This window comes from Homo sapiens, chromosome 2, assembly GCF_000001405.40.
Source record: "Homo sapiens chromosome 2, GRCh38.p14 Primary Assembly".
NCBI classification, from domain to species: domain Eukaryota; kingdom Metazoa; phylum Chordata; class Mammalia; order Primates; family Hominidae; genus Homo; species Homo sapiens.
Genome location: NC_000002.12, coordinates 108288057 through 108311878, shown reverse-complemented (window position 1 = coordinate 108311878; position 23822 = coordinate 108288057). Strand labels below are relative to the sequence as shown.

Sequence of the window (23822 nt, the reverse complement as noted above, 5' to 3'; positions counted from 1 at the left end):
GGTGGAGGTTCCCAAACCTCAGTTATTGACTTCCATGCACCTGCAGGCTCAATGCCACATGGAAGCTGCCAAGGCTTGGGGCTTGCACCCTCTGAAGCCATGGCCTGAGCTCTACGTTGGCCTCTTTCAGCCATGGCCGGAGTGGCTGAGATACAGGACACCAAGTCCCTAGGGTGCACACAGCAGGGAAGGCCCTGGGCCCAGCCCATGGAACCATCTTTTCCTCCTAGGCCTCTGGGCCTATGATGGGAGGGGCTGCCATGAAGGTCTCTGACATGGCCTGGAGATATTTTCCCCATTGTCTTGGTGATTAAGATTTGGCTCCTTGTTATTTACGCAAATTTCTGTAGCTGGTTTGAAATTCTCCCTAGAAAATGGGTTTTTCTTTTCTAGTGAATTGTCAGGCTGCAAATTTTCTGAACTTTTATGCTGTGTTTTCCTTTTAAAATGGAATGCTCTTAACAGCACCCAAGTCACCTCTTGAATGCTTTCCTGCTTAGAAATTTATTTCACTAGATACCCTAAATCATCTCCCTCAAGTTCAAAGTTCCACAAATCTCTAGGGCGTGGAAAAAATGACACCATTCTCTTTCCTAAAACATAGCAAGGGTCACCTTTACTCCAGTTCCCAACAAGTTCCTCATCTCCATCTGAGACCACCTCAGCATGGATTTCATTGTCCATATTATTATAAGCACTTTGGTCAAAGCCATTCAACAAGTCTCTGGGAAGTCCCAAACTTTCCCACATTTTCCTGTCTTCTTCTGAGCCCTCCAAACTGTTCCAACCTCTGCCTGTTACCAGGTTCCAAAGCAACTTCCACATTTTTGGGTATCTTTATGGCAGCACCCCACTCTACCAGTATCAGTTTACTTTATTAGTCTATTTTCACACTGCTGATAAAGACATACCCAAGACTGGGTAAATTATAAAGAAAAAGAGGTTTAATGGACTTACAGTTCCATGTGGCTGAGGAGGCCTCATATTCATGGCAGAAGGTGAAAAGGCATGTCTTACCTGGTGACAGACAAGAGATAATGAGAGCCAAGTGAAAGAGGAAACCCCTTATAAAATCATCACATCTTATTCACTACCATGAGAACAGTATGGGGAAAACCACCTCAATGATTCAATGATCTCCCACGGGGTCCCTCCCACAACATGAGGGAATTATAGGAGCTACAATTCAAGATGAAATTTGGGTGGGGACACAGCCTAACCATATCAACATTACTTCCGTATACAACAAAATTATTTTCAGTGTTGATCATGAATAGAGACAAGTAATAATAATAGTAAAGAAATGTAGTCAGTGAAACTTTTCTTTTATTCAACTTTTGTGTATAGACTCAAGACCAGTAAAAAAATCAGAATGCCAATTTAAATAAAACTAAAATGTCTACAAAAAGTATAAGTCAGACAATTACTAAATCATACCACTGGTGTAATGTTTTATTTCTTGATTCATTCTTAAATTTTAAAACAAATAATTAACACTTAGAAAAGAGTAAATTTTGTTTTTAAAGTTATTATTCAAAGTCAGTAAACTTCCTGTATGAGCACAACTTTGTACTTACTAAACAAAGTGTGAATGTTGCTGTTCACACTCTTAAATTTTACTGTTTTAAATTCTGGATACAACTGAAAACCCCAATGAGAGAATTGAACAAACTGAGGTGTTCTGCTTCTTTTCCTTTACAACCATTGTGCCACCATCATCTATGCCAAATCTACTGTTTAAACAGCAATATCCAAATACTGCAGGGTTGGAGACACAGGTTATACCTGAAGTGAGCTTGCAAGATTCTGAACTGTTATGAACTTAACCTTGGAAGGAAGCAGGCAGAACTACATCTGCCTGCTGGAATTAAAGAGGTAGACTCTATGCTTGGGGTTTCTGAATTAATTTCCATACAAAGGTGAATAAGACATGAAACAAAACAACAAAAATTTTACAATGCAGTGGGGATACAGATAACTTTTATTTATTTACATAATAAAAAGGTGCTTATTTGAAGCTCATATACATATAGTTAAAACTCAGTGGTAACCTAGCTATTATTTAGAACTTAGGCCAATAAGAGTTTTTCTTTTCACTTTTCTTTTCTTTTTTTCCTTTTTTTTTTCTCTTTTTCAGGGAGAAGCATTTTAACACTGACATTGTTTGGAATTGCCAGTGCATGGTAATAATAAAAAGCAGTCAGTTAAGACCAGCCTGGGCAACATAGCAAGACCCTATTTTAAAAAAAATACCCTACGAAATCCAACAAAAAGCATTCAGAATTTTAGTTGGCTTCATTCTTCCTCTTATTGTCTGCTCCCAGGGTGAACTGCTCCTACTACCCTCAGCTATGGAATGCCACTATTTGGGACTAAAAGAAAAGGGTCAAAGTTCAAAATTTGTGATTTGCTGCAGTCATTTATCCATGCACTTTTTTACTCCCTCTACAAGTTCTCAAGGGCACTTGCTGTGTGCCAGGCACTGCATTAGGTACTAGGAGTAAATATGGCATGAGACTGAACCCAAAGAATTAACAATTGAGTGAGAGGTATAAATAAGAAATTGAAGAGTAAATACATAACAACAGGGCTGCAACTGGGACAAATATGGGAAGCAAGGGAAAAGAACACCTCACTTGGTTTAGGGCTTCCCAAAAGGGTGGCATTGAAGCCAAGACCCAATTACCTCCATGCCTGGGAGCCATGCCCATGCTGACGTTGTTGACAGCCATCCTGTCTCCTCCTTTCTGCTTTCACCAGGACGTAACTTGGGTTCCCAAAAGGCCACTGTCATGCTTTCTGTTTCCTATATGACCTAGCACTGGGACTATTCACCAAGTTTTGGTCTTCTGACATCTCCTCTGTGCACTTCCATTTTATTCCCACCCACCAGTGAGGGCACTCAGGCCATGTTTCCTCAGGGCTGGCTGCACCAGGGTTTCCCTCAAAGTGTTCCTTCTGATAGTGACCAGACAGAACTCCAGGATTGAGCCCAGGCTGGAGTTGCCTGAATGGCCAGGACAGATGACAGAAATTTTGTTTTTAATATAGATATAACCTAATATTTGGACTTATACTCAAGGTATTATGATGTTATAGACTGGGAGACTAGGATGCACTTTCCAGAATAATGGGGATTAAAACAATCCTTTTGTACTCAAGTCATACGTTTTACTTAGTTTATTAAGCTACCTTATATCTTACTTTGGAAAGAATAGTTGGGAAAATGGGCATTAGACGTGATCCTTTTTAAAAAATGAAGTGGTGACATACTGTTAATCATCACAGAGATTGTTTGTACTACATTGTATACATTCACAATATGCTTTCAGAGATTCTTCTGGCTGGGACTGAAGGATTGAAGATAGTATTTGCACTCTTGCCATCCACCTTTTAATTTTATTTACATCTTGCTCAGAGTTCCATGCAGAAGTTTATGGAGGTTCCTTCCATCTTTCTTCTATAGATTTCATCAAACCTCTCATTCTGGGCAACAGTGAAGTGGTTTTTCCAATCCCCCACAGTTCCTAGAAAAAGGAAGGCCAGACAGGAGTGTCACTCTGATTGAAAGATGTGGTGTCCCTGAGTAAAGTGGTGTAGTGCCCATACTGAATCTGGCCTGTCCACATACCTGACTCACCCAACTCCCCCTTCAGTGGACACCTGTCCATGAGCAGCTCTCCTATAAGAAGCAGGCCTAGGGGACTCTGTGCAGGGGGATGGACTTCTAAGTCAGCTGGACAACTGACCCAAGGCAGCTAGTGGCCTGCATGACCTGGCCCCACCTGTAGTGTATTTACCTGATGGATTACTACATAGACATAAAAGAATGATGAACTACAGACACACAACCACATGGAGGAATCTCAAAACATTATGTTGAGCAAAAGACACGAGACACAGGAAAGTAAATACTGTGAAATTCCATTTACGTGAAGTCCAGCAACAGGCAAAATCAATCTAGAGTAATAGAAATTGGAAAAACGGTTGTCCCTGGAGGTAGACATTGACTGAAAAGGGCACAAGAGGGAACTTTCTGGGGTAATGAAAATGTTTCATATCTTGATTGGGGTGCGGGTGGTGTGGGTATATACATTTATTAAAATGGGTTGAACTGTATACTTAAGATCTGTGCATTTTTGGTATTTTGATTATATCTCAATAAAAAACTATTTTGGAAAAATATGAATGAGATAATATTTTTCACCAAACAACAACTTAAACTAATTTTAAACAGGGGAAATTCTCTTTTCCCCACCAATACCTCTTCCAGAAAATTATGCAACAGAAATAAAAGCATCTGGAAATAATTTATGCACAAAGATATTTACTGTAACATTATGCATAAAAACAAACATTGAAAACAATAATAACTATAGTGTCTATCATTAAGGGAATAGTTGGATGAATTATGATGCATCCTTCGCTTGGTATAACATGGGACCAAAGAAATCAATGAGGTGTATGAGTCTATATGCCTTGCCCTAGAGGGGTTTCTCATATCCTGGTAAGTAAAGGTATAAAATATGACCCCATTCTGCATTTTAGGGAGCAAGCTTTCATTATGGTTACATATCTTTGTGTCTGTGTGAGTCTGAAGAAGGAGGGTGTATAGAAAGATGGTTATGTATGAGCCTGAAGAAGGGCACCTTGACAAATCATTACCACTGGTTATCCAAAGAGAAAAGGGGTAGAATATTTTGGTTTGTTTCATTGGTATGGAATACTGTTGTAGATTGGAAAATGCAACAACATAAATTCAAGCACATGCAAAATCAAAGAGGAAGAAGAAAAGATGTTTCAAAGCAGTGTGTATACCATGATTTCACTGTTGTGAATAAAAAATCTGTATGTTATAAATGAGAGAGAAAGGGACTTCCATACTGTTGGTAGTTACTTCTTGGGGGTGGAGTTTTTGTGGAGAGACTTTTAAAAAATATAATTTTATACTGATTTTATTTATTTATTTATTTATTGAGACAGTCTCACTTTGTCACCAGGCTGGAGTACAGTGGCATGATCTTGGCTCACTGCAACCTCTGCCTCCTGGGTTCAAGTGATTCTCCTGCATGAGCCTCCCGAATAGCTGGGACTACAGGCGTGCACCACCACGCCCAGCTAATTTTTTTATTTTTAGTAGAGACAGGGTTTCACCATGTTGGCCAGGTTGGTCTTGATCTCTTGACCTCGTGATCTGCCTGCCTAGGCCTCCCAAAGTGCTGGGATTACAGGCGTGAGCCATCATGCCCAGCCTATTTAGTTTATTTTTTAAGAAAAGCTGGTGTCTTTCTCTGTCACCCAGGCTGGAGTACAGTGGCAAGGTCCTAGCTCACTGCATTCTCAAAATCCTGGGCTCAAGTGCTCCTCCCACCTTAGCCTCCTGAGAAGCTGGGAATACAGGGATGCATCACCACACCCAGCTAATTAATTTTTTTTTGTAGAGATGGGGTCTTGCTGTGTTGCCCAGTCTAGTTTCGAACTCCTAGCCTCAAGCAATCCTCATGCCTCAGCTTTCCAAAACGTGGGATTATGGGCATAAGTCAATCTGCCCAGCCCAATTTAATATTTAACAATGACATGTTTTGCTTTTTAAATTAGAAAGTGATAAAGTTTTTTCTTAAAAAATATTAGATGGGCCAGTTAGAATTCCTCCTTTGGGAATTGGAACTAAGAAATACTGAGGATGAGGCAGTTCTCAACAGTAGTTGTAGTTGAAACTCATGAAGTAGAGCAGGTTTGGGTAAGGGTCAAGACCAAGTTATGAGCAGAAACTGAGTCATCAGAAGTTATAAAGTGGGAGAAAGTTGTAATGGGTGGAGAGACCGGAAGCTGGTTAGCAGAGGAAGCCATGCCTAATAGATATGTGAAAAGCAGCTGAGTCCTGTAAGTGGTGGAGCTTTGGAGCAAAGACACATCCCTCCTGCTGCTGAGTCCTGGACCCTGAGATCCAGCGGCCCCTGGGAGGTCTGGACCAGTGGTGGCTCCTCTTCCTAGTTTTCTATGTGATTGCATTTCCTTTATTGTCCATGGTGAATCTTCACAGTAAGCCCCTTTCTTTGGGGCTAGCTTGAGGGACTCTCTGTTCCTTGCAACCAAATACTGGAACAATACCCTAGAAAGCTCTCTTCTACAACAGGATCAAATCCCTGGTTTTATTAGAAACACATATTAGGAATAGTTGAAATGCATTGGCTTGGAATTAATAAAACTCAATATTGTCTGCTAAGAGGCAGACAGGATGTTACGAGACAATCTGAATGTATGATAAAGAGGCCCCACACACCTTTTCTCATGAAGGAGGAAATTGACTGGTCCAAGATAGATTTGGAAACTGTAGAACGATTTGTCATGGGATTTTCTTTCATTTTCTCAAATGACGTCTCCTGGACAATTTTATCTAGCACTGTTTCATCCACCTTCTTTCCCATGAACTGCATCACCTTCCGAATTTCATGCTTTGGGTCCTGCGGCAAGGGTAACATTGGACTGGAATGAATGAGAGTATCATAAAGAAATACTACAATTCTCTGGGATGTCCTTTGAAACAACTTTGAATTTCTCTGCACCTGAAGAACCACTTTAAAATGGTTCTTCTGCAGAGCCTTCACTCACCCTCTTTATGTCCTCATAGAAGAGGAAGAGAATCTGGTGTCTGTCTTTCATCTCCCACCATCCTTTCACGTGGTCAAACCAGGAACCCCAAACCACTGAAATAGACACAGGAAACAGAATAGTCTACATAGGCATCACACAAAACCTTCTGAGTATTAGGGATTTTCCTGAAGTGAGTTAGAGAGAGAAAACCCAAATTCTGTATTAGATATGTCCTAAGGGTTCTGATCTGTTTGATTTTGAGGGTGGTGTAGATGGGGACAGCCTTAGGGTTACTTGCCCCAACATCGTCCCTAAAGTGGCTTCCTATTATGTGCAATCACATAGGGACAAGGACACCTTTTGGAAGAGGATGGCTGTAATTAAAGACTCTGAATCAGGTGGAAGATGTTTGCTGAGGGCTGTGGGCATACACTCAGTGGCCAGCTTGCTCTGCCCAGTCCCAGTCTGTGGTAGGACACACCTGATGAAGTACAGGCATTCTAGGGGATAAAATGCTGCCTGTGGTTCCCTAGACCCAGCCTAGCTGGAGTGAGAATGCAAGGGTGTGAAGGATGTTCCCGTACCTTTTCCATTGATGAAGGTTTCAAAATACTCTTCCCAGGTACCAGGGTCAGGAAGCATGTGGTTCATCCTTTGGAAATGGTAGTAGGAAACCATACAGTCTTTGGCATTTCGAGCTACATAAAGGAACTTTGGGGTAAGAAAAGAGGTGGGTAAAAGATGGTATAAAAAGTGGACTTTCACAGAGTTCCCTTAGGCAGAGCCATCCTGAGGGTTGCTGTGCACTCTGGCTCAGTTCTGCAGTGCTGGCCCTGCGACTTGGCCTTGTGACCTCCCTCTTCTTTCTGTCTCTGCTTTGTCACCAAGTCTGCTCTCTACTTCAAACTCAGTCCTTTTAATTAGCTAATCAATTAGGGATTGGTGAGGATTAGATTGCCTGATTGCCCCTTTGGTATCAGGAGCAAAATCTTTTTCTGTAAACTATGACCTGCCACTTGAATAGGAGACTTCCACAGTATCAACGTAAACTGATGACCCCTCGCGCACCCTCCCAAAGATGCACAGAAGCTTCATGTTTAAGAGTTTGAGCCACACAGCAAGAAAATAGCTCCTATTTTTCTCCTGGCCTCCTCGGCTTGAATGATTTCCATCTCTAATCATTTCAGCTCTGCCCCTACAAACATTCCTTCAAGTTCCACTTTGCCCACAATTTCACATCCCTGCACTCTCCCAACCTTTCATTTTACCAAATCTGACCTTTTATCCAGTACTCAGTTCACATTTTAATGGCATCAATGCCAAATGGGCCTCTTGACTATGCATCTCAGATCTATGACCAGCTATTTCAATGCTGTGCTTTTTTATTCTTTCACTTTTAAGTGGTTCTCAATTGGGGATGATGGGATGATTGTATCCACTAGGGGACATTTGGCAATGTCTGGAGACATTTTTGGTTGCACAGCTTGGAGTAGTGGTGCTACTGGCATCCATGCAGGGGCCAAGTATGCTGTTCAACATTCTACAATACATAGAAGAGTCCCCTTGCTCCCACCCACAAGAAAGAAAAATCTGCCCCAAATGTCAGGAGTGCTGTATTAATTATGTCTTTTATATTCTGTATCTGATGCTTTGACATCCTGGGGCTTTGCTGACTCTGGAGGAACTGCCTACAACACCCCAGAGCCTATACCCCCAACACTTCCACTGTTGGGCTTTTACACACTGGGCCATTATTCACCTGCCCTGACACCCCAGGGTCAGATACCAGACCACTAGGCCAAGCCCCTGTGGCTGAAAGCCTGCTCCAGTGGTTCAAACTGGCCAATCCCAAGCCTGCCTACCTTGCCTCAACTATTCCTTCCCAAAGAAACCACATCAAGGCTCTTGCCCATGTCTTCTACTCACTGTCTCTTCCTCCTGACCTATCCCATTGCTTCCCTGTGAGGCTCTGTGTGACATGCCATGCCTCCTGTTCTAGGTATCTGCGAGGACACACTTCTTCCTTATGACAGTCACCACTGTACCTGCATGTCTTGCCATGCCTGATTATATCAAGTCCCAGGCCCTTTAGAGCAAGTGCTAAGGTTGAGAAACCCTGCTCCTGAAAGCGTTGACTCTGTTACTGTCTACTAAGTCCTACTCCCCATCTTCTCTTCTCCAACTTACCAAGCTGCCAAGCACCAGTAAAGAAGGTTTTAAGAAATGCTGATTTAAAAAATTCCCCTAGTTTCTAAATTTTTTATGCTCAGTTTTCTTCCTCTTCATTGCTGCTTGATAATCCTTTTATTAATCCCTCCCGTGCTCCATCTCTTGGCTCTTAGCTCCAGACACAGGTCTCTCCTCTCTCCTCAAACCTTTACCCTCAAACCTTCCTGTCTGAGTTCACTAATTCTCTATGCAGCTGTTCTGCACTTTATCCTATGCTTGAGTTTTTAATTTCCATGATTTTATATTTTTTTGTTATAGAAATTCCATTTATTTACTTAATATTTCTGTGTCTAAAAGTAGCATCTTATTTCTTTATTTTATTTTTGATACACTTTTTCATTTATTCACACAACTTGAACCTTCTCTTATTTCTAGAGTTGATAATTACATTGTCTGAAGTTCTTGAGGTCTGACTCTTCCATGGGTTCTTTCTGAAGACTGCATCTCATGGTGGCTTGTTCTTTTGTGTATTTTGTAATGTGGGATGGTGAGCTCAAGTGGGGATCCTATGGGGGTCTGAGTTGCAGCTGTGTCCCTCCAGAGCGGACCTGGGAACACTGGCTGTGGGGACCACCTTGTGGAATGTCTCTGCTTGTAGTTTCTTGGACAATGCAAGGAGTGCAATTTTCAATCTCAAACCCCGAGGGAGTAAACCTGTGGCTATACATTCTCAAGGGAGCTGAGCGCCTAGGTCAAGGCAGAGTGGTTCCCTAAGGTCTTTCTCTGCCTCCTCCACCCATCCATTGAGGATGTAGCCCTTCAGTGGTCCCAGCTTTGGCTCCTCATTCTTCTGGTTCCTTGTGCCATGGGCTTTGACCCTGTCCCTGTGCAGCCATTAAAACTTAAATTGCTGGATTATCCAGGTCATCAGATTTCCCCTGGAGAGTCCCAGTCTCAATTTGCCTCTCTGAGTTTCAGTTTCCTCTGCAGTTTCTAAACTTAGGGACTTTATTTTGATCTCAGTTATGCATTAAAAGGAAACTTGTGATTTTTTTATGCAGTAATCCTGGATGTTCTACATATAAGGGCTTCAGGGGTTCAGAACACCTAGTTTGCCATAATTCTGGAAATGGAAGTTTTTGTCCCCTTATCCAACATTATTACTAAAAGGAGTGAAGTCATTTGAGTCCTCCAACTTCACTCCAGTCCCCTAGCAACATATCTTTCTTAGCCCTTCTTTCCCCTTCATTCCTGCCTTTAAGGAAGCAGTGCCCCACTTTCTCACCAAGGCTGGCGGCTCAGTTTGTACCCTTGACTCCACCTGCTCTACAGCCACTTCCGTATTTACTCAGCAAGGACGTGTCTAATGCCCTCTATGTGCCAGGAACTTATTAGGCACTGGGGTGCATACGAATAAAGTCACAGAATAAATAAAACGAAGAACTCAGAGTCTACCAGAGGCAGAGGTGGGGTGTCCTCAAGAGCGTTGCTCTGCCTGATTCATCTGTTTACCCTTTGGGGAGAACTTTTTTTTTGAGATGGAGTCTCGCTCTGTGGCCCAGGCTGGAGTGCAGTGGCGTGATCTCGGCTCACTGCAAGCTCCGCCTCCCGGGTTCACGCCATTCTCCTGCCTCACCCTCCCGAGTAGCTGGGACTACAGGCGCCCGCCACCGCGCCCGGCTAAGTTTTTTTTTATTTTTAGTAGAGACGGGGTTTCACCGTGCTCTCGATCTCCTGACTTTGTGATCCACCCGCCTCGGCCTCCCAAAGTGCTGGGATTACAGGCGTGAGCCACCGCGCCTGGCCTCCTTTGGGGAGAGCTTTAGCTTTTTTCCTCTCATTCTTCCCTCCCTGGTCTGTTAGAAAACCTCCCCATGGCCTGCAGCCTGGGACCACCATCTTCTCCCCTTCATTTCACAGCTACGCTTACTGCACTCACTGCCTCCCCATGTCTCTAGTTCCCTCCAAACATTCAATCTGGATCCTGCCTTCATGTCCTATTTGAAACTGTTCAGGTGAATGTCCTGCTGAATGTAGAACTTTATGTTTTCTCTTTGCTGGTAAGCATCAGAGACAGTGGAGAGGCAAAGGTGATCACGAATGCTCTGCGTTGGGGTCTGCAGGACTCGCTTTGGTTGGCTTACTTTCCCTTCTGTCACAGGGAGCTGTTGGTATCTTACCTTGCAGTTGTTTTCCCAGAAAGACGGTGGCAGCAGCTGAGTGGAAAGGTGAGTCTTTAGTATCCGTGGAGAGGGCATTGCTTTGGCTTTTTCCACACCTTTAAAATAGCTCAAGAGGAAACATCTGCGTAGTACAAGCACTACATGGGGACCTCATGATCCAGGCTCTGTCCAGGACATCCCATCACCCACCTGTCTTTCTGCTAGTCTCTTGACTTTCTTTTGGGATTTTACAATGGGATTATTAATATAATTTTCATTTTTGTAAAATCACACAGCTTGAGTCCTGGATGGGGCCTTAGAGTTAATTTACTCTGTCACTTTAAGGATGAGGTGACAGAAGGTGAGAATGGTCAAGTGAAGTCCTGCTGAGGCAGAGTCAGCCAGGACCAGAGAAGAGAGGACTCCCTCACCTTCCTGCCAGCCAGAGATGACCCCCATGTGCCTGCAGCAGGCTGTCTCATGTACCCGGCCTGTTTGCAATCACTTGTTTCATCTCTAAAAACATGTATACTTGCTGGCCTGTGAGTCATGATTTCTACTGTCTCATTTTTTTTTTGAGACGGAGTCTTGGTCCATCACCAGGCTGGAGTGCAGTGGTGCGATCTCGGCTCACTGCAACCTCCGCTTCCCAGGTTCAAGCAGTTCTCCTGCCTCAGCCTCCCGAGTAGCTGGGATTACAGGCGCTTGGCCACCACGCCCATCTAATTTTTCTATTTTTAGTAGAGACGGGGTTTCACCATGTTGGTCAGGCTGGTCTCGATCTGGTGACCTCGTGATCCACCTGCCTTGGCCTCCCAAAGTGCTGGGATTACAGACATGAGCCACGGTGCCCGGCCTCTACTCTCTCATTTAAAAGCCTTAACGAGCACTTTGTGCAATCATCGTGTTAAGCTGAGGTTAGGGGAAAAGGCAACAAAGACAAGAAAAACACAGGCCTTCTCCCTAAGGAGCTTCCACTCTAGTGTGGGAATCAGAGGCTCATGCGAATCATGTCAGAGGAGCTGGGTCAAGTTAGTGCAGAAAATCTCCTTCCTCTTTAAGACTGAGTAATGTTCCATTGTATATCCACATCTTGTTTATCAATTCAGCCATTGGTGGACACTTGGGTTGTTGCCACCTTTTGGCTATTGTGAATAATGTTATTTTGAATGTAGATGTACAGGTATCTGTTTCAGACCCTGTTTTTATTTCTTTGGGATATATACCCAGAAGTGGAATTGCTGGATCATGTAGTCATGGTAATTTTTGTTAAATAAAAAAGTGTTTTGGTACTAAAAAGAAAAGTTGGAAAACCACCTTTAACCATTTTTGAAGTCCATATTCCTTAGAAGAACTGCAAAGCTCTCCTGCCTCTAGTCTCTTTTCTCAGCTCCACCTCTACGCCAGCTCACACTCTGACCTTCCACATGCCCTGGTCCTGCTGCCCCACGCCCCTGTGGCTCCCTCCGGCTCTCATTTCTACACATCTGGACAGTCCCACTCACTCTTCAAGGGTCTCTCCAAGTACTTTCACTGCTGGAGACATGGTGGCCTGAACATTATGAAGATCTTTCCTGTTAATCACACACCTGCAGATTCTGATTAAAACACCAAACGTATCATTTAAGTGCATAATCAGGCTCATAAGAAAATAAGGGGACCCTCCAGGGACGAAAGTGAAGAGGGAGGGAGCTGCAAGATGGAGAAGTGGGCAAAGGCTTTGATGACAGCTGCCCTGAGTGGGTTCACCCTCTGGACACCCAGTGCTCAGTTCAGTGACCTCTGCTCAGGGAAGAGGCTGGTAGCCCTGGACTTTAGTGAGGCACAGATTAGGAACAGAGACCCATGCATTAGCCGGAGAAACTCAAATGTCTGCTACCTCAGTGAAAGGTGAGAGAGAAAAAGATCACCTACTGCCAAAGAGAGGTAAGGTAATTTCCTTGCCTCGCCTCTGGGTGCAGAAAAAGAGGCTTTCTTGAGAGCTCATAACCACAATCCTGTTTTCATACTACATGCATGGATATGAAATTATACTACCAGCTTGGACCAGAAGTTAACTTAAACTATTCTAGATTGGAAATGTTCCAATGTAGGTGTGAGATCAAGACAGGGAGAAAAGAGCTTTTTATACAAAATTACAAAACAAGTGAGGGAAAAGCCCTATGAACAAGAGCTAGAAAAAAAACAGGTGGAAGAACTAAACCCCTAGTGACCTCAGTTATTGGGTACCTAATAGAGAATATAAATAACTATGTTTAAAATATGCAAAGAAGACCAGGGGCAGTGGCTCACGTCTGTAATCTTGGCACTTTGGGAGGTTGAGGCAGGTGGATTGCTTGAGCTCAGGAGTTTGAGACCAGCCTGGGCAACATGGTGAAATCCTGTCTCTAAAAAAAAAAAATACCAAAATTAGCTGGGCATGGTGATACGCACCTGTAGTCCCAGCTACTTACTCGGGAGGCTGAGATGGGAGGATCGCTTGAGCTCGAGAGATTGAGGCTGCAGTGAGCTGTGTTTGCACTACTGCACTCTAGCCTGGGTGACAGAGTGAGACCCTGTCTCAAAAAAAAGTGCAAAGGAATAAAAGAGAAAGTTGAAAACATGAGCAAGGAAACAAGAGACTACTAAAAAGACTGGGAAGATTTATAGTGTTTGGACATGAAAACCTACAATGAGTAGGGTTAAATAGCAGAGCTTATATAGCTGAAAAGAAAAATAGTGGCAGAGCTAAAGAAGCACAATGTAGAGAAACGGAGATGAAAGCTATAAGAAACCTTAGCAGACATAGAGGACAGAAGGGAAGGTTATGGATGGAGTTGGACTGTCAATCCCAAGCTGGGGAGCAAATTCAGGGAATCTGCCAGAAAGTGAGATCTGCAGGCTGGTTGATTTCCTTCCTGGTACTCGCGGCTCTCCTCTTTCCTATTACACCTGATTTAATGCCCTGTGGGCAGTAACCACTTAATGCCTAAAAGAGACCCAGTCTTCTAATTGGGAAATCTGTACTCAGTCATTATGGTCCTTAGATGGCTCACAGTCATCCTTCCTGCCCATGACAAATAAGAAGGCCCACTCCTACTCCTGATCCAGCCCTGTTGGTGGGCTCAGTCCAGCTCTAACTCCAAATTTTTCTGCCAAAAAACCCCTACAGGAGAGAGATACTGTGGAGTCGGGGCTTGACATAAAGCAGTTGACCAGTGTTTTCTTTTATGAACATAGGTACATTGTACATTCTGCCCCCCCACACCCTCGCCCCACCTCTCTCTCATCAATGATTCAGAAAAGCCCCATGGGGTTGCCTCACCCGCCAGGAATACCACGATGGTTGCTCAGACTCAGGGTGGAGAAGCACAGCGTGGAGAGTGTGCATGACACAGCCCAGGCTGCAGGGCCCATTCCCAAGCCCACTAGCTTGGAAGAAGGGGGCAAACGGGGTCATTTTTGGCCTTCGTCAGTTGCACTAAGATTTTAGCCTTGGGATTTGAGCCAAATTGCATGTGGCTGTGAGGGATAAATCAATTCAGCCAATACTGTAGAAACAGCCCCATGGGAGTACAAAGTTAAACAGAACTTGTTTCTTGCCATCAAAGAGTTTGCAGTCTGGCAGGAGACAGAGGCAGAAAATTAGTAATGACAACAGTTTATCATTTCAGGTGTCACCTCCAGGAACGGTTCATTGGCCATGTTCCCCTCACCCTGCCAGTAGCCCTCCATGCTTGTTGTTATATCATCTGCATTGGTTTCTTCCATGGGACAATAACTTATTGAGGGCAAGTAGGTGTGAAGTCTTATGAGCAGCATAGGCCCTTGAGCATAGATGTTTGCTGAAACTAAGTGGATCATTCCTAGATTTCACCTATATACAGTTCACACACACACATGCATATGCATACACATGCACACAGGTCTTTTCAAAGTCTTTCCAAACCAATTCTCTGTGGGTCACAGATGTAATCCCTTTTGTCACAGAACGGCTACAAGGCTGGGAGTTGATGGGAGAGCAGAAGGGGGCCTGGAAGGGAGACTGACCATGCAGGGCACAAGCTCATCCATTGTCCAGTAGTGTCTGACCACTCCAGAATGCTCCAAGGGTGGTTGAGACCTTTGGCCGACAGCCATGAGTCTATGTCAGCAACTGGTCTCCTCCCAGTGATGCTCCTCACCTCAACTGGCAGGGATTATCTACTCTGAAAGAAAACCACTGGCTGGGCACGGTGGCTTACGCCTATAATCTCAGTGCTTTGGGAGGCCGAGGCGGGTATATCATGAGGTCAGGAGTTCGAGACCAGCCTGGCCAACATGGTAAAACCCTGACTGTACTAAAAATACCAAAAATTTGCTGGGCGTGCTGGCAGGTGCCTGTAATTCCAGCTACTTGGGAGGCTGAGGCAGGAGAATTGCTTGAACCCGGGAGGCAGAGGTTGCAGTGAGCCAAGACCATGCCATTGCACTCCTGCCTGGGCAACAGAGCCAGACTTTGTCTCAAAAAAAAAACCAAACAAACGACCACTGCACAGCTGAGTCTCCAGCCAGCATTCAGCTGTCTGTGGCTGGGCAGATCATAAAGCCTGAGACTGTTTGTTATTCTCACACAGGGCACCTTGGTTCCTAAAGAGGCCAGGGTGCCTCTGTATGACATGCCAAGCTGGCCGTTTGATTACCATCCTTTCTCTGGATTCTACAGCTCTATCCTGGTTTTTATGCCGATTTAGTGATTGAACACTCTGCTCTCTACTGCTAAGAATACTTCATTAGAAATCTTGCTTAGGCCTCTCCTCTTTCTTTAATCTCTCAAATTGCCAGAGGTAAGACACTGGGCAGCGGCAGGGGCAGGAGGTAGAACAAAGATCAAAAGCCGTTCTTGGGCTGGGTGTGGTGGCTCATGTTTGTGATCCCAGTGGCTTGGAAGGCCGAGGCAGGAGGATTGCTTGAAGCCAGGTATTTGAGACCAATCTGGGAAACATAGTGAAACCCGATCTCTACAAGCAAAAAATTTGCCAGGTGTGGCGGTGTTCACCTGTAGTCCCAGCTACTCAGGAGTCTGAGGTGGGAAGATTGCCTAAGCCCAGGAGTTCCAGGTTGCAGTGACCTATGATGGCACCACTGCAGTCCAGCCTGGGTGACAGAGCTAGCCTCCATCTTTAAATAAACAAAAAATGCTGGTCTTAGATAATCAGGGAACACATGGGGTCATGGGGCCTGGAGAAGTGGTTAGTAAAGATAGCTAACACGTAGATAGTATCCTCTGAGTGTCAGGCACTGCTTCAAGCTTTTTACCTATACTGAATTTGTTAATGCTCACAACAACTCTTTGAGATAGGCCTTGATTCTATCTACACTTTGCAGCTAAGGAAACTGTAACACAGAGAGGTTATGTAAACATTGTGAGGTGAGTGACGGAGTCAGGATTTAAACGTTGTGAGGTGAGTGATGGAGTCAGGATTTAAACCCTGGTAGTCCTTAACTATTATACCATCCTGCTGCTCAAGGAGCAGAAGACCAGACACACACAAAACAGCAGGTCCTCATGGCACATGGAGTGAGATCATGGTTAAGCAGGCAGAGGCTGGCCTGTCTATGGGGTCAGAGCCCCACAGGTATTTCAGAGCAGGGCGGGAACAGGCACTGGGTTACAAAGCGAGTAGTTACCTACCTAGTGACCATTTTCTCTTCTTCGAAAGCCAGAGGAGCCAGAGGGGCTGGATGGTAGGATCATAGGGGAAAGCAAAATCCTTTAAGGCTATTCTGACTTGGAGACACCTCCTTCCACAGGTTACAAGTGTCTTGTATGCATCAGATCAGGGAATTTCTATCTTAGGACATTTTTAGGGATTTATCAGACCTCTGTCTACAGTTGCTCCAAGTCTAGACTTCATGCTAGAGCTGCATTAACTACATTTTCATAGCTTCAGCTACTGTGCTCCCAGCTTTCTATCACATGGATCTCTGCAATGCTATAACTTAGGGAAGTAGGCCTTCCTCCTATCCTTGTTTTGCAAAATAGTTCCAGCAGCTCCAGTTACCTGAAATATAGCATTCTGGTTATATTTTTTAGCTTTCTTTATTTTTTGATGTGAAGAGAAACACTTCTAGGTTGAGCATTACCTGAAAAGTCTTCTCTGTTGAACAGAAATAATTGGTTCCAAATGCAATGGGGTGTGTGTGTGTGTGTGTGTATGTGTGTGTGAATTATCGATTCTTGGATACCCTCCTGGCTGCACTGGGTTTTATCAGGTTGGGGTACAGATAGAAGAAGGAATAAATGGCTTACAGTTTTTCACATCTTCAATGTGATCTACAGTTGCACATGATCAGAGGGAGGGCTTAAGAAGAAAATAAGGCAGAATCTGACCCTAGCACACATCCTTTTCATTTGGTGATTCACTTTTGGTAAAAAATCTTAAATAATATGTAGACAGAGGATGAGAGGAAGATAAAAGGAAGAAACATATGACAGTGAAAATGAGAGAGAAAGAGAAGAGGAAGGAGAGATGGGGGAGAGAGAGAGGAGAGAAGAGGAGAAAAGTGAGAAAAGACAGGGGAAAACAGAAGAGAGAGGGAAAGAAAGCAGGAAGAGAGAAAGAGGGAGGTGCTCTCACCAGAAGGTTGGGGTGGCCGAGCCCACTCAATGAAAGGATGGCGGTGTTGGATGATGGCTCGCTGGCACTTCTCCACGTCCCCATTCTGTTCAATCATATCCACAATTTCCTGAATCCACGTTGTCCCTGAGGCTCAGAAAGGAAGGATGAGAAGCAGAAATCTGTTAGACAATCTTCCCTGAAGAGTCCCGAGTAAACGAAGAGGATGTAGAGCCTTGGTGTTTGCATCACCCTCCCCTTGGGTCAGAATCCTGTTTGCCATGAGTGATAGAAGTCCATGAGGGATGGACTTTGGATCTCTGTAGGGAGTGGAGCAGCACAGGCAAGGGTCTCTCCACCCAAGACCAGTGCATGGTAGAGCATAGCAGCTTTCCTGGAAAACTCGGATATCAGGCATCCTGTGTGAGCCCTGAGCTCCAAAACCCATTGTGGAACAATAAGAAGGAGCAGGTTTCCTAAGAAGGGGAATTCTAACTTAAGTGATGAGCCTGTGCTGGCTCAGCAGGTCTTTGCTGTCCCTCCTACCCTGCAATCACCTGCTTTAGGGTAGGTGCAGATGAGGAGATCATCTGGTTTGGCCTCGAAGCTCTGGATCTGGCTCCAGTTGTCCACAGTTGCAGGCTGCAGGAGGGTCCCCTCCACCTCTTTCAGTTTTATCTGTTTCCCCAGGTCTGAGGTCAGGGCCATAGTGTCTCAGGGTTGGGGTCCCTATGGGAAAAGAATAGAGGAGATTTTTAAAGAAGTTGTGGTAAAATATACATAACATAAAATTGATCATTTTAACCATCGTTAGGTGTACAGTTCAGAGGCATTAAGTACATTCACATTGTTGTGCAACCATTATAACCATCTTTTCTAGAATTTTTTTCATCATCCCAGACAGAAACTCTGTATCTATTAAACAATAATTCCCATTCCCCCTCCCTCAGCTCCTGGCAACCACCATTTTATTCTCTGTCTCTATGGACTCTATGTACCTTATTTAGGTGGAATCACATAACATCTGTCCTTTTGTGAATGTCTTATTAATTAAGCTTAATCTTATGCTTAATTGAAAGCTTGATCCAAAGCTTAATCTCTTCAAGGCTCATCCGTGTTGTAGCATGTGATGGGATTTCCTTCCCTAGTTCACTGTAGATATACACCTTTCCTTTTTTTTTTTTTTTTTTTTTTTTGAGACAGAGTCTCACTCTGTTTATCCAGGCTGGAGTGCAATGGCATGATCTCTGCTCACTGCAACCTCTGCCTCCAGGGTTCAAGCGATTCTCATGCCTCAGCCTCCTGAGTGGCTGGGATTACAGGTGCCCGCCACCATGCCTGACTAATTTTTGTGACTTTAGTAGGGACCGAGTTTCGCCATGTTGGCCAGGCTGGTCTTGAGCTCCTGACCTCAGGTGATCCACCCACCTTGGCTTCCCAAAGTGTTGGGATTACAGGCGTGAGCCACCGTGCCCAGCCTATATTTTGTTTACCCAGTCATCTATTGATGGAAACTTTTGGCTGTCATGAATTAGGTCTCTGTGAACATCGATGTACAAATATCTCTTTGAATTATTGCTTTCAATTTTTTTTGGTATATACTCAGAAGTGAAATTGCTAGATCATCTGGTAATTCTATGTTTAATATTTTGAGGAAATGTTACAGCATCTTCCACAGCAGCTGCACCATTTTACATTTTTACAAGCAGTGCACAAGGGTTCCAGTTTTTCCAAATTGTCATCAACACTTGTTGTTTCTTGTGTTTTTTGTTTGTTTTTTTGGTTTTGATAATAGCCATCCTAATGGTTGTGCGGTGATAAATAGCTCATTGGGGTTTTGATTTGCATTCCCCTAATGTCTAATGATGTTGAGCATCTTCTCATGCTTATTGGCCATTTGTGGGAGAAATATCTGCTTTGCCCAGTTTTGCATTGTGTGTGTGTGTGTGTGTGTGTGTGTGTGTGTGTGTGTGTGTGTGTGTTGTCATTGTTGTATTGAGGGAAGACTTTTAAATGCACCAAAAGGAGAAAGCAGAAGATGTAAATCACTGTTACTCAAGGATAACTGGCTACTGGGGTTCCAGAAGACATTTATTACTACTACTACTAATGAAATAGTAGTTAAAAGCTAACATTTATCGAACACGTCAATTTGCCAACGCTGGGCTGAGGCCTTGTATACATTAATTTATTTTAACTTTTGCTGAAAATGAGTGATAGAACTTCGGAGCTGAAAGGGTCCTTACAGAAAATGTAACAGTACATGCTTGCTAGAGGTTGAATAAAATAATCTGGCCCAGCTGCTTCATGGAATGGATGAGAAAACTAGGTGCCCAGATTAGTGAGGGCAGTTTTCATGGTGGCTTCTGCTTCCAGATTGAGCTGAGCCCTTTAAGATGAAGACAATTTTTGGAAAACGAAAGACAAATTATTTATGAAAATTTTCAAATATGAGAAGCAGTTGTATTTATAATACATCAAAGAAGGTGGAGTTTGGACAGTACTCCTGAGATAATGGTATGATCAAATTCAGGAGAGGAGGGATAAGAACAAACATTTCTTGCAGGCCTTCTATGTTAGGTCCTTCGTGGACTTTTCTTTTTCTTTCTTAATTCATATGACAATTTTATTAGGAAGGAATAATTATCACCCTCATAAATGTGAGGAAGCTGAGAGTCACACGATCAATAACTTGCCCAGGATCGCAGCCAACATCTGTATACGAATCCTATGTTCCTTCTTTAAAAATTGCCTCTTGTTTTTTTTTATTGTGAATTTAAAGTTATACATTGCAGAAACTTTGGAAACAGTCCAAATGTACAAGGAAAACATCTATCACACAAGAGTTGTTATTATTTTGATGTATTTCTATCTGTCTTTTTCAAATGTATATTGTTGTAGGCAGAATAATGGCCCTAAAGATGTCCACGTCCTAATTCCTAATACATTACATTGTGTGGCAAAGGGCTTTGCAGATGGAATTTAGGTTAAGAACCTTAAGGCAATGAGCATGTCCTGTATTATCCCGGTGGGTCTAATGTGACCACAAGGGCACTTAAAAGTGGACAAGGGTGTAGAAGAGCAGTCAGAGAGTCGTGTGGCAGAAGAAGTGGCTGGAGAGTTTGGAAGCATGAGAATGACTCAACTTGCCATTGATGGCTTAGAGACAAAGGGGAACACAAGACAAGGCATGACCTCCAGAAGCTGAGAATGAACCTCAGCCAACAAGCAAATGGGACCTCCATCCTACAGCCACATGAATCTGAATTCTGCCAACAACCAGAATGAGCTTGGAAGGGATTCTTCTTCAGACCCTCCAGAAGGGAACGCAGCCCTGCCAACACCTTGATTTTACCCAGAGACACCTGTTTGGACTTCTGACTTACAGAGGTGTGAGATAATAAACTTGTATTGTCTTAAGCTGCTAAATTTTTGATAATTTGTTATGGCAGTGATAGTGATAGAAAACTGTTTATACATAGTTATGAACAAAAAGTATACATATATATAAACATAAAACTACAAAACACTTTTTGGATACTGCTGTGGTTTGGATGTGGTTAGTCCCCACCAAAACTCTCTGTTGAAGTTTAACTGCCAGTGTGGCAGTGCTAGGACACGGGGTCTTGTGAGAGGTGTTTGGGCCATAAGGGTGGATTCCACATGAGTAGATTAATGCCATCTCCCAGAAGTGGGTGAGTTTGGTCCCTTTATACATGCCTGCTTGCCTTTCTATTTCTTCACCATGTCTTGATGCAGCATGGCCCTCACGAGAAGCTGAGCAGATGCCAGCACCATGCTCTTGGACTTTTCAGCCACCAGAATCATGATTCAAAATAAACCTCTTATATTTATAAATTACCCAGCCTCAGGTATTTTGTTATAGCAACATAAAATGGACTAAGACGGACATTATCGTGGTTTGAATTGTGTCTCTCTAAGTTCATATGTTGAAGTCCTAATTCATAGTATATTAGCATGTGGCTGTATTTGGAGATAATGTCTTTAAATAGGTGATTAAGTTAAAATGAGGCTGCTAGGATGAGACCTATTCCAATCTGGTATCCTTGTAATGAGAGGAGATTAGGACACACAAGGCAACACCAGGGATGTGTGCACATGGAGGAAAGACCATGTAAGGACACAGTGAGAAGGTCCTCCATAGGGTGGGGGTGAGGGGATGGTGAGTCCAATTCTGGGGTTGAGTCTGATGTATTTATGGGACTTCCCAATGTACACCTGTAGGCAGGTGTACATGTGAGCTTAGGGCTCTGGCCTTGAACTAATGCCCTGAGAATAATCCACGCAACACATTGACCAACTCTGTGGTAGGCGTTGTGCTCTGGGCAGGTAGCTGATGACCGAGGGCCTGGGCACAGCTGTGAACATGTGTGGAAGGGCACCTGCTGCTGCTGAGGACCAGGGCGGTTAAGGGCTTGGCTGTCCAGTGAACTATGGATCCCACTGTATTGCTCTTGTTGGAGGCCTGCACGGGGAGTGATAGAACCTGGCTAAAGCTGGGAGAAGGAGATGCAGCAAGAGATTGAGGCAGCTGGGTAGTGCAGTGGGAGCAGAGGGATCTGCCAGTTCCCACAGGAGAAGTCCCAAGTCCTTCTCACCCTCCCCAGGCCCCTCATTGCTGGGCCACATCAGCACATGGTTCCTGCCCTTGGAGAGTCAGGCATGTAGACACATACATTTCCCCTTGAGCAGCCAGCAGGGACATTTTCATCATATCAGGCCAGATCACTATGGCCTCCTTTGTGGAGGCATCCCTGACTCTGTAAACAGAAGTAATCACTCCTTTCCATGGGATCCTATAGTATTTTGTGTGCAAATTTTATAGGTCTTACTCCACGTCCTACAATTACTTGCTTATAAGTCTGGACCCTTGGAGCACAGGATCTGGTTCAGTCCCCTTGCAGGCCCAGCATGTGTCTTAGTCAATGGCTGGCATAAGAGGAGGGCTGTCATGGAAGAAGAAATAGTCTTGGCCAGAGAAGTTGAGCTGGCCCTGGAGGAGGATGGGACAGGGAGGGTATTTGGGAAAAGATCAGGGTGGGAGACAGAGATAGTATTACAGGAGAGAGAGCTTTTGGAGGTGATTTGAGGGGGGTCCTGAATTTCTAGGTCTGAATTTTTAGGCTGGAGGCTGTTAACAAAACTCTTTTATATTATTTTATCAGATTCTTAGGATCTTTTCTGGTTTGAATAAATGCATCTGTAAAGCCACACCTATGTGGCTAAAGGTTAAAAAATAAATTAACGAGTTAGGTACAGAATTTCTTTTAAGCCATATTCTTACCTTCAAGTTCCAGCTGAAAGTCAGCAGCTCAAAGGCCCACTCAAGGGTCAGTGGGCACGGAAAGGACTTTCACAGGAAGCAGACGGCAATTGCAGAGGCTCAAATTACTACTGTGTCAGAGTTACGGGGGCGCTCAGCAGGTAGCCAGCACTTTGGGAGGCTCTCAGCTTCAGTGTGGGAAGTTGAAGCTTTTACTGGAAGAATCCGGATTGAACAGAAACAAACCCTGTGACCTGGCCCTGGGAGGGAGAACTTCTCACTGTACCATGATCACTCATGTGACCCTGACTGCTGTGCAAATACCAACTCCCTCTAGTTCATATGAACTAAGGGCACACTCTACTCCTCCTCTCGGTCACCAGCTAGAGTTTTTCACATCTTTCCTGGCCCTCAGCTGCCTGGCCCCTCCCTCCTCCCACTGGCCTCGAAGCTTAAACAGGTGGGGGCTGGGGGGAAATGGAAGGTTGGCTCTAGGACCAGATGCATCAGGCTTCAGGTAGGCTCCTGCTTATTTGGTGAACTCCCTTTTCCTTCCTCCTTAGCCTGAGATTTAATTTCTGCATCTATGAAGTGTGGGTAATACTGCCTGTCTCCAATCCATGCTTTAAGATTGAAAGCAACAATGTTGATGAATACACTTTGCAGAGCAAATAGTAAGTGCTTAAAACTGCTGGTTCTTCTTTCCTTTCTTCCCAAGTTGTATTCATCCACACCGAAAATGCAGAGAGGATAGAACAAAAGTCTAGAGCTTAGGTGTGTACTTATTTTTTCTTTGCCTTATTGTACAAAAGGTACACTTTAGTGGAGGCAGATTATATTCCATGGTGTCTTTGGTTACCTGGGAAATTAAATGGATCAAGTGTTAATGATCTCTGAACTGCTACTCTTCTGCCAGCCCCAACCTTGTATCTACCCCAGTGCTTTCCTTTCTGGAATTGAAGCATAATTCTGCACCCCATCTGCCCTTCTTGCCAAAGCTTTCCTTGTCTTCTTTGACCCTGAACCTCCTAATGC

At 44.0% G+C, this 23822-nt stretch overlaps 1 protein-coding gene across 3 annotated transcripts; it reads right to left on the bottom strand.

The window, feature by feature from the left end:
* Nucleotides 1-1963: 1963 nt before the first annotated feature.
* SULT1C2 (sulfotransferase family 1C member 2) lies at nucleotides 1964-22984 on the bottom strand. Of its 3 annotated transcripts, NM_176825.3 has the most exons (9): nucleotides 22809-22984; nucleotides 18061-18232; nucleotides 17525-17650; nucleotides 13218-13312; nucleotides 10944-10979; nucleotides 7179-7305; nucleotides 6613-6707; nucleotides 6284-6464; nucleotides 1964-3527 (listed from the first exon to the last, which is right to left on the bottom strand). In NM_176825.3, the coding sequence occupies exons 2-9, from the start codon at nucleotides 18209-18211 to the stop codon at nucleotides 3415-3417; spliced, it is 924 nt and encodes a 307-aa protein (NP_789795.1). In that variant the 5' UTR covers nucleotides 18212-18232; nucleotides 22809-22984; the 3' UTR covers nucleotides 1964-3414. The 3 variants fall into 3 exon arrangements, with proteins under 3 accessions (NP_789795.1, XP_005264070.1, NP_001047.1); XM_005264013.5 differs by lacking the exon at nucleotides 13218-13312 and having other exon boundaries at nucleotides 10944-11041; nucleotides 17525-17656; NM_001056.4 differs by lacking the exon at nucleotides 13218-13312 and having other exon boundaries at nucleotides 10944-11041.
* Nucleotides 22985-23822: the final 838 nt, after the last annotated feature.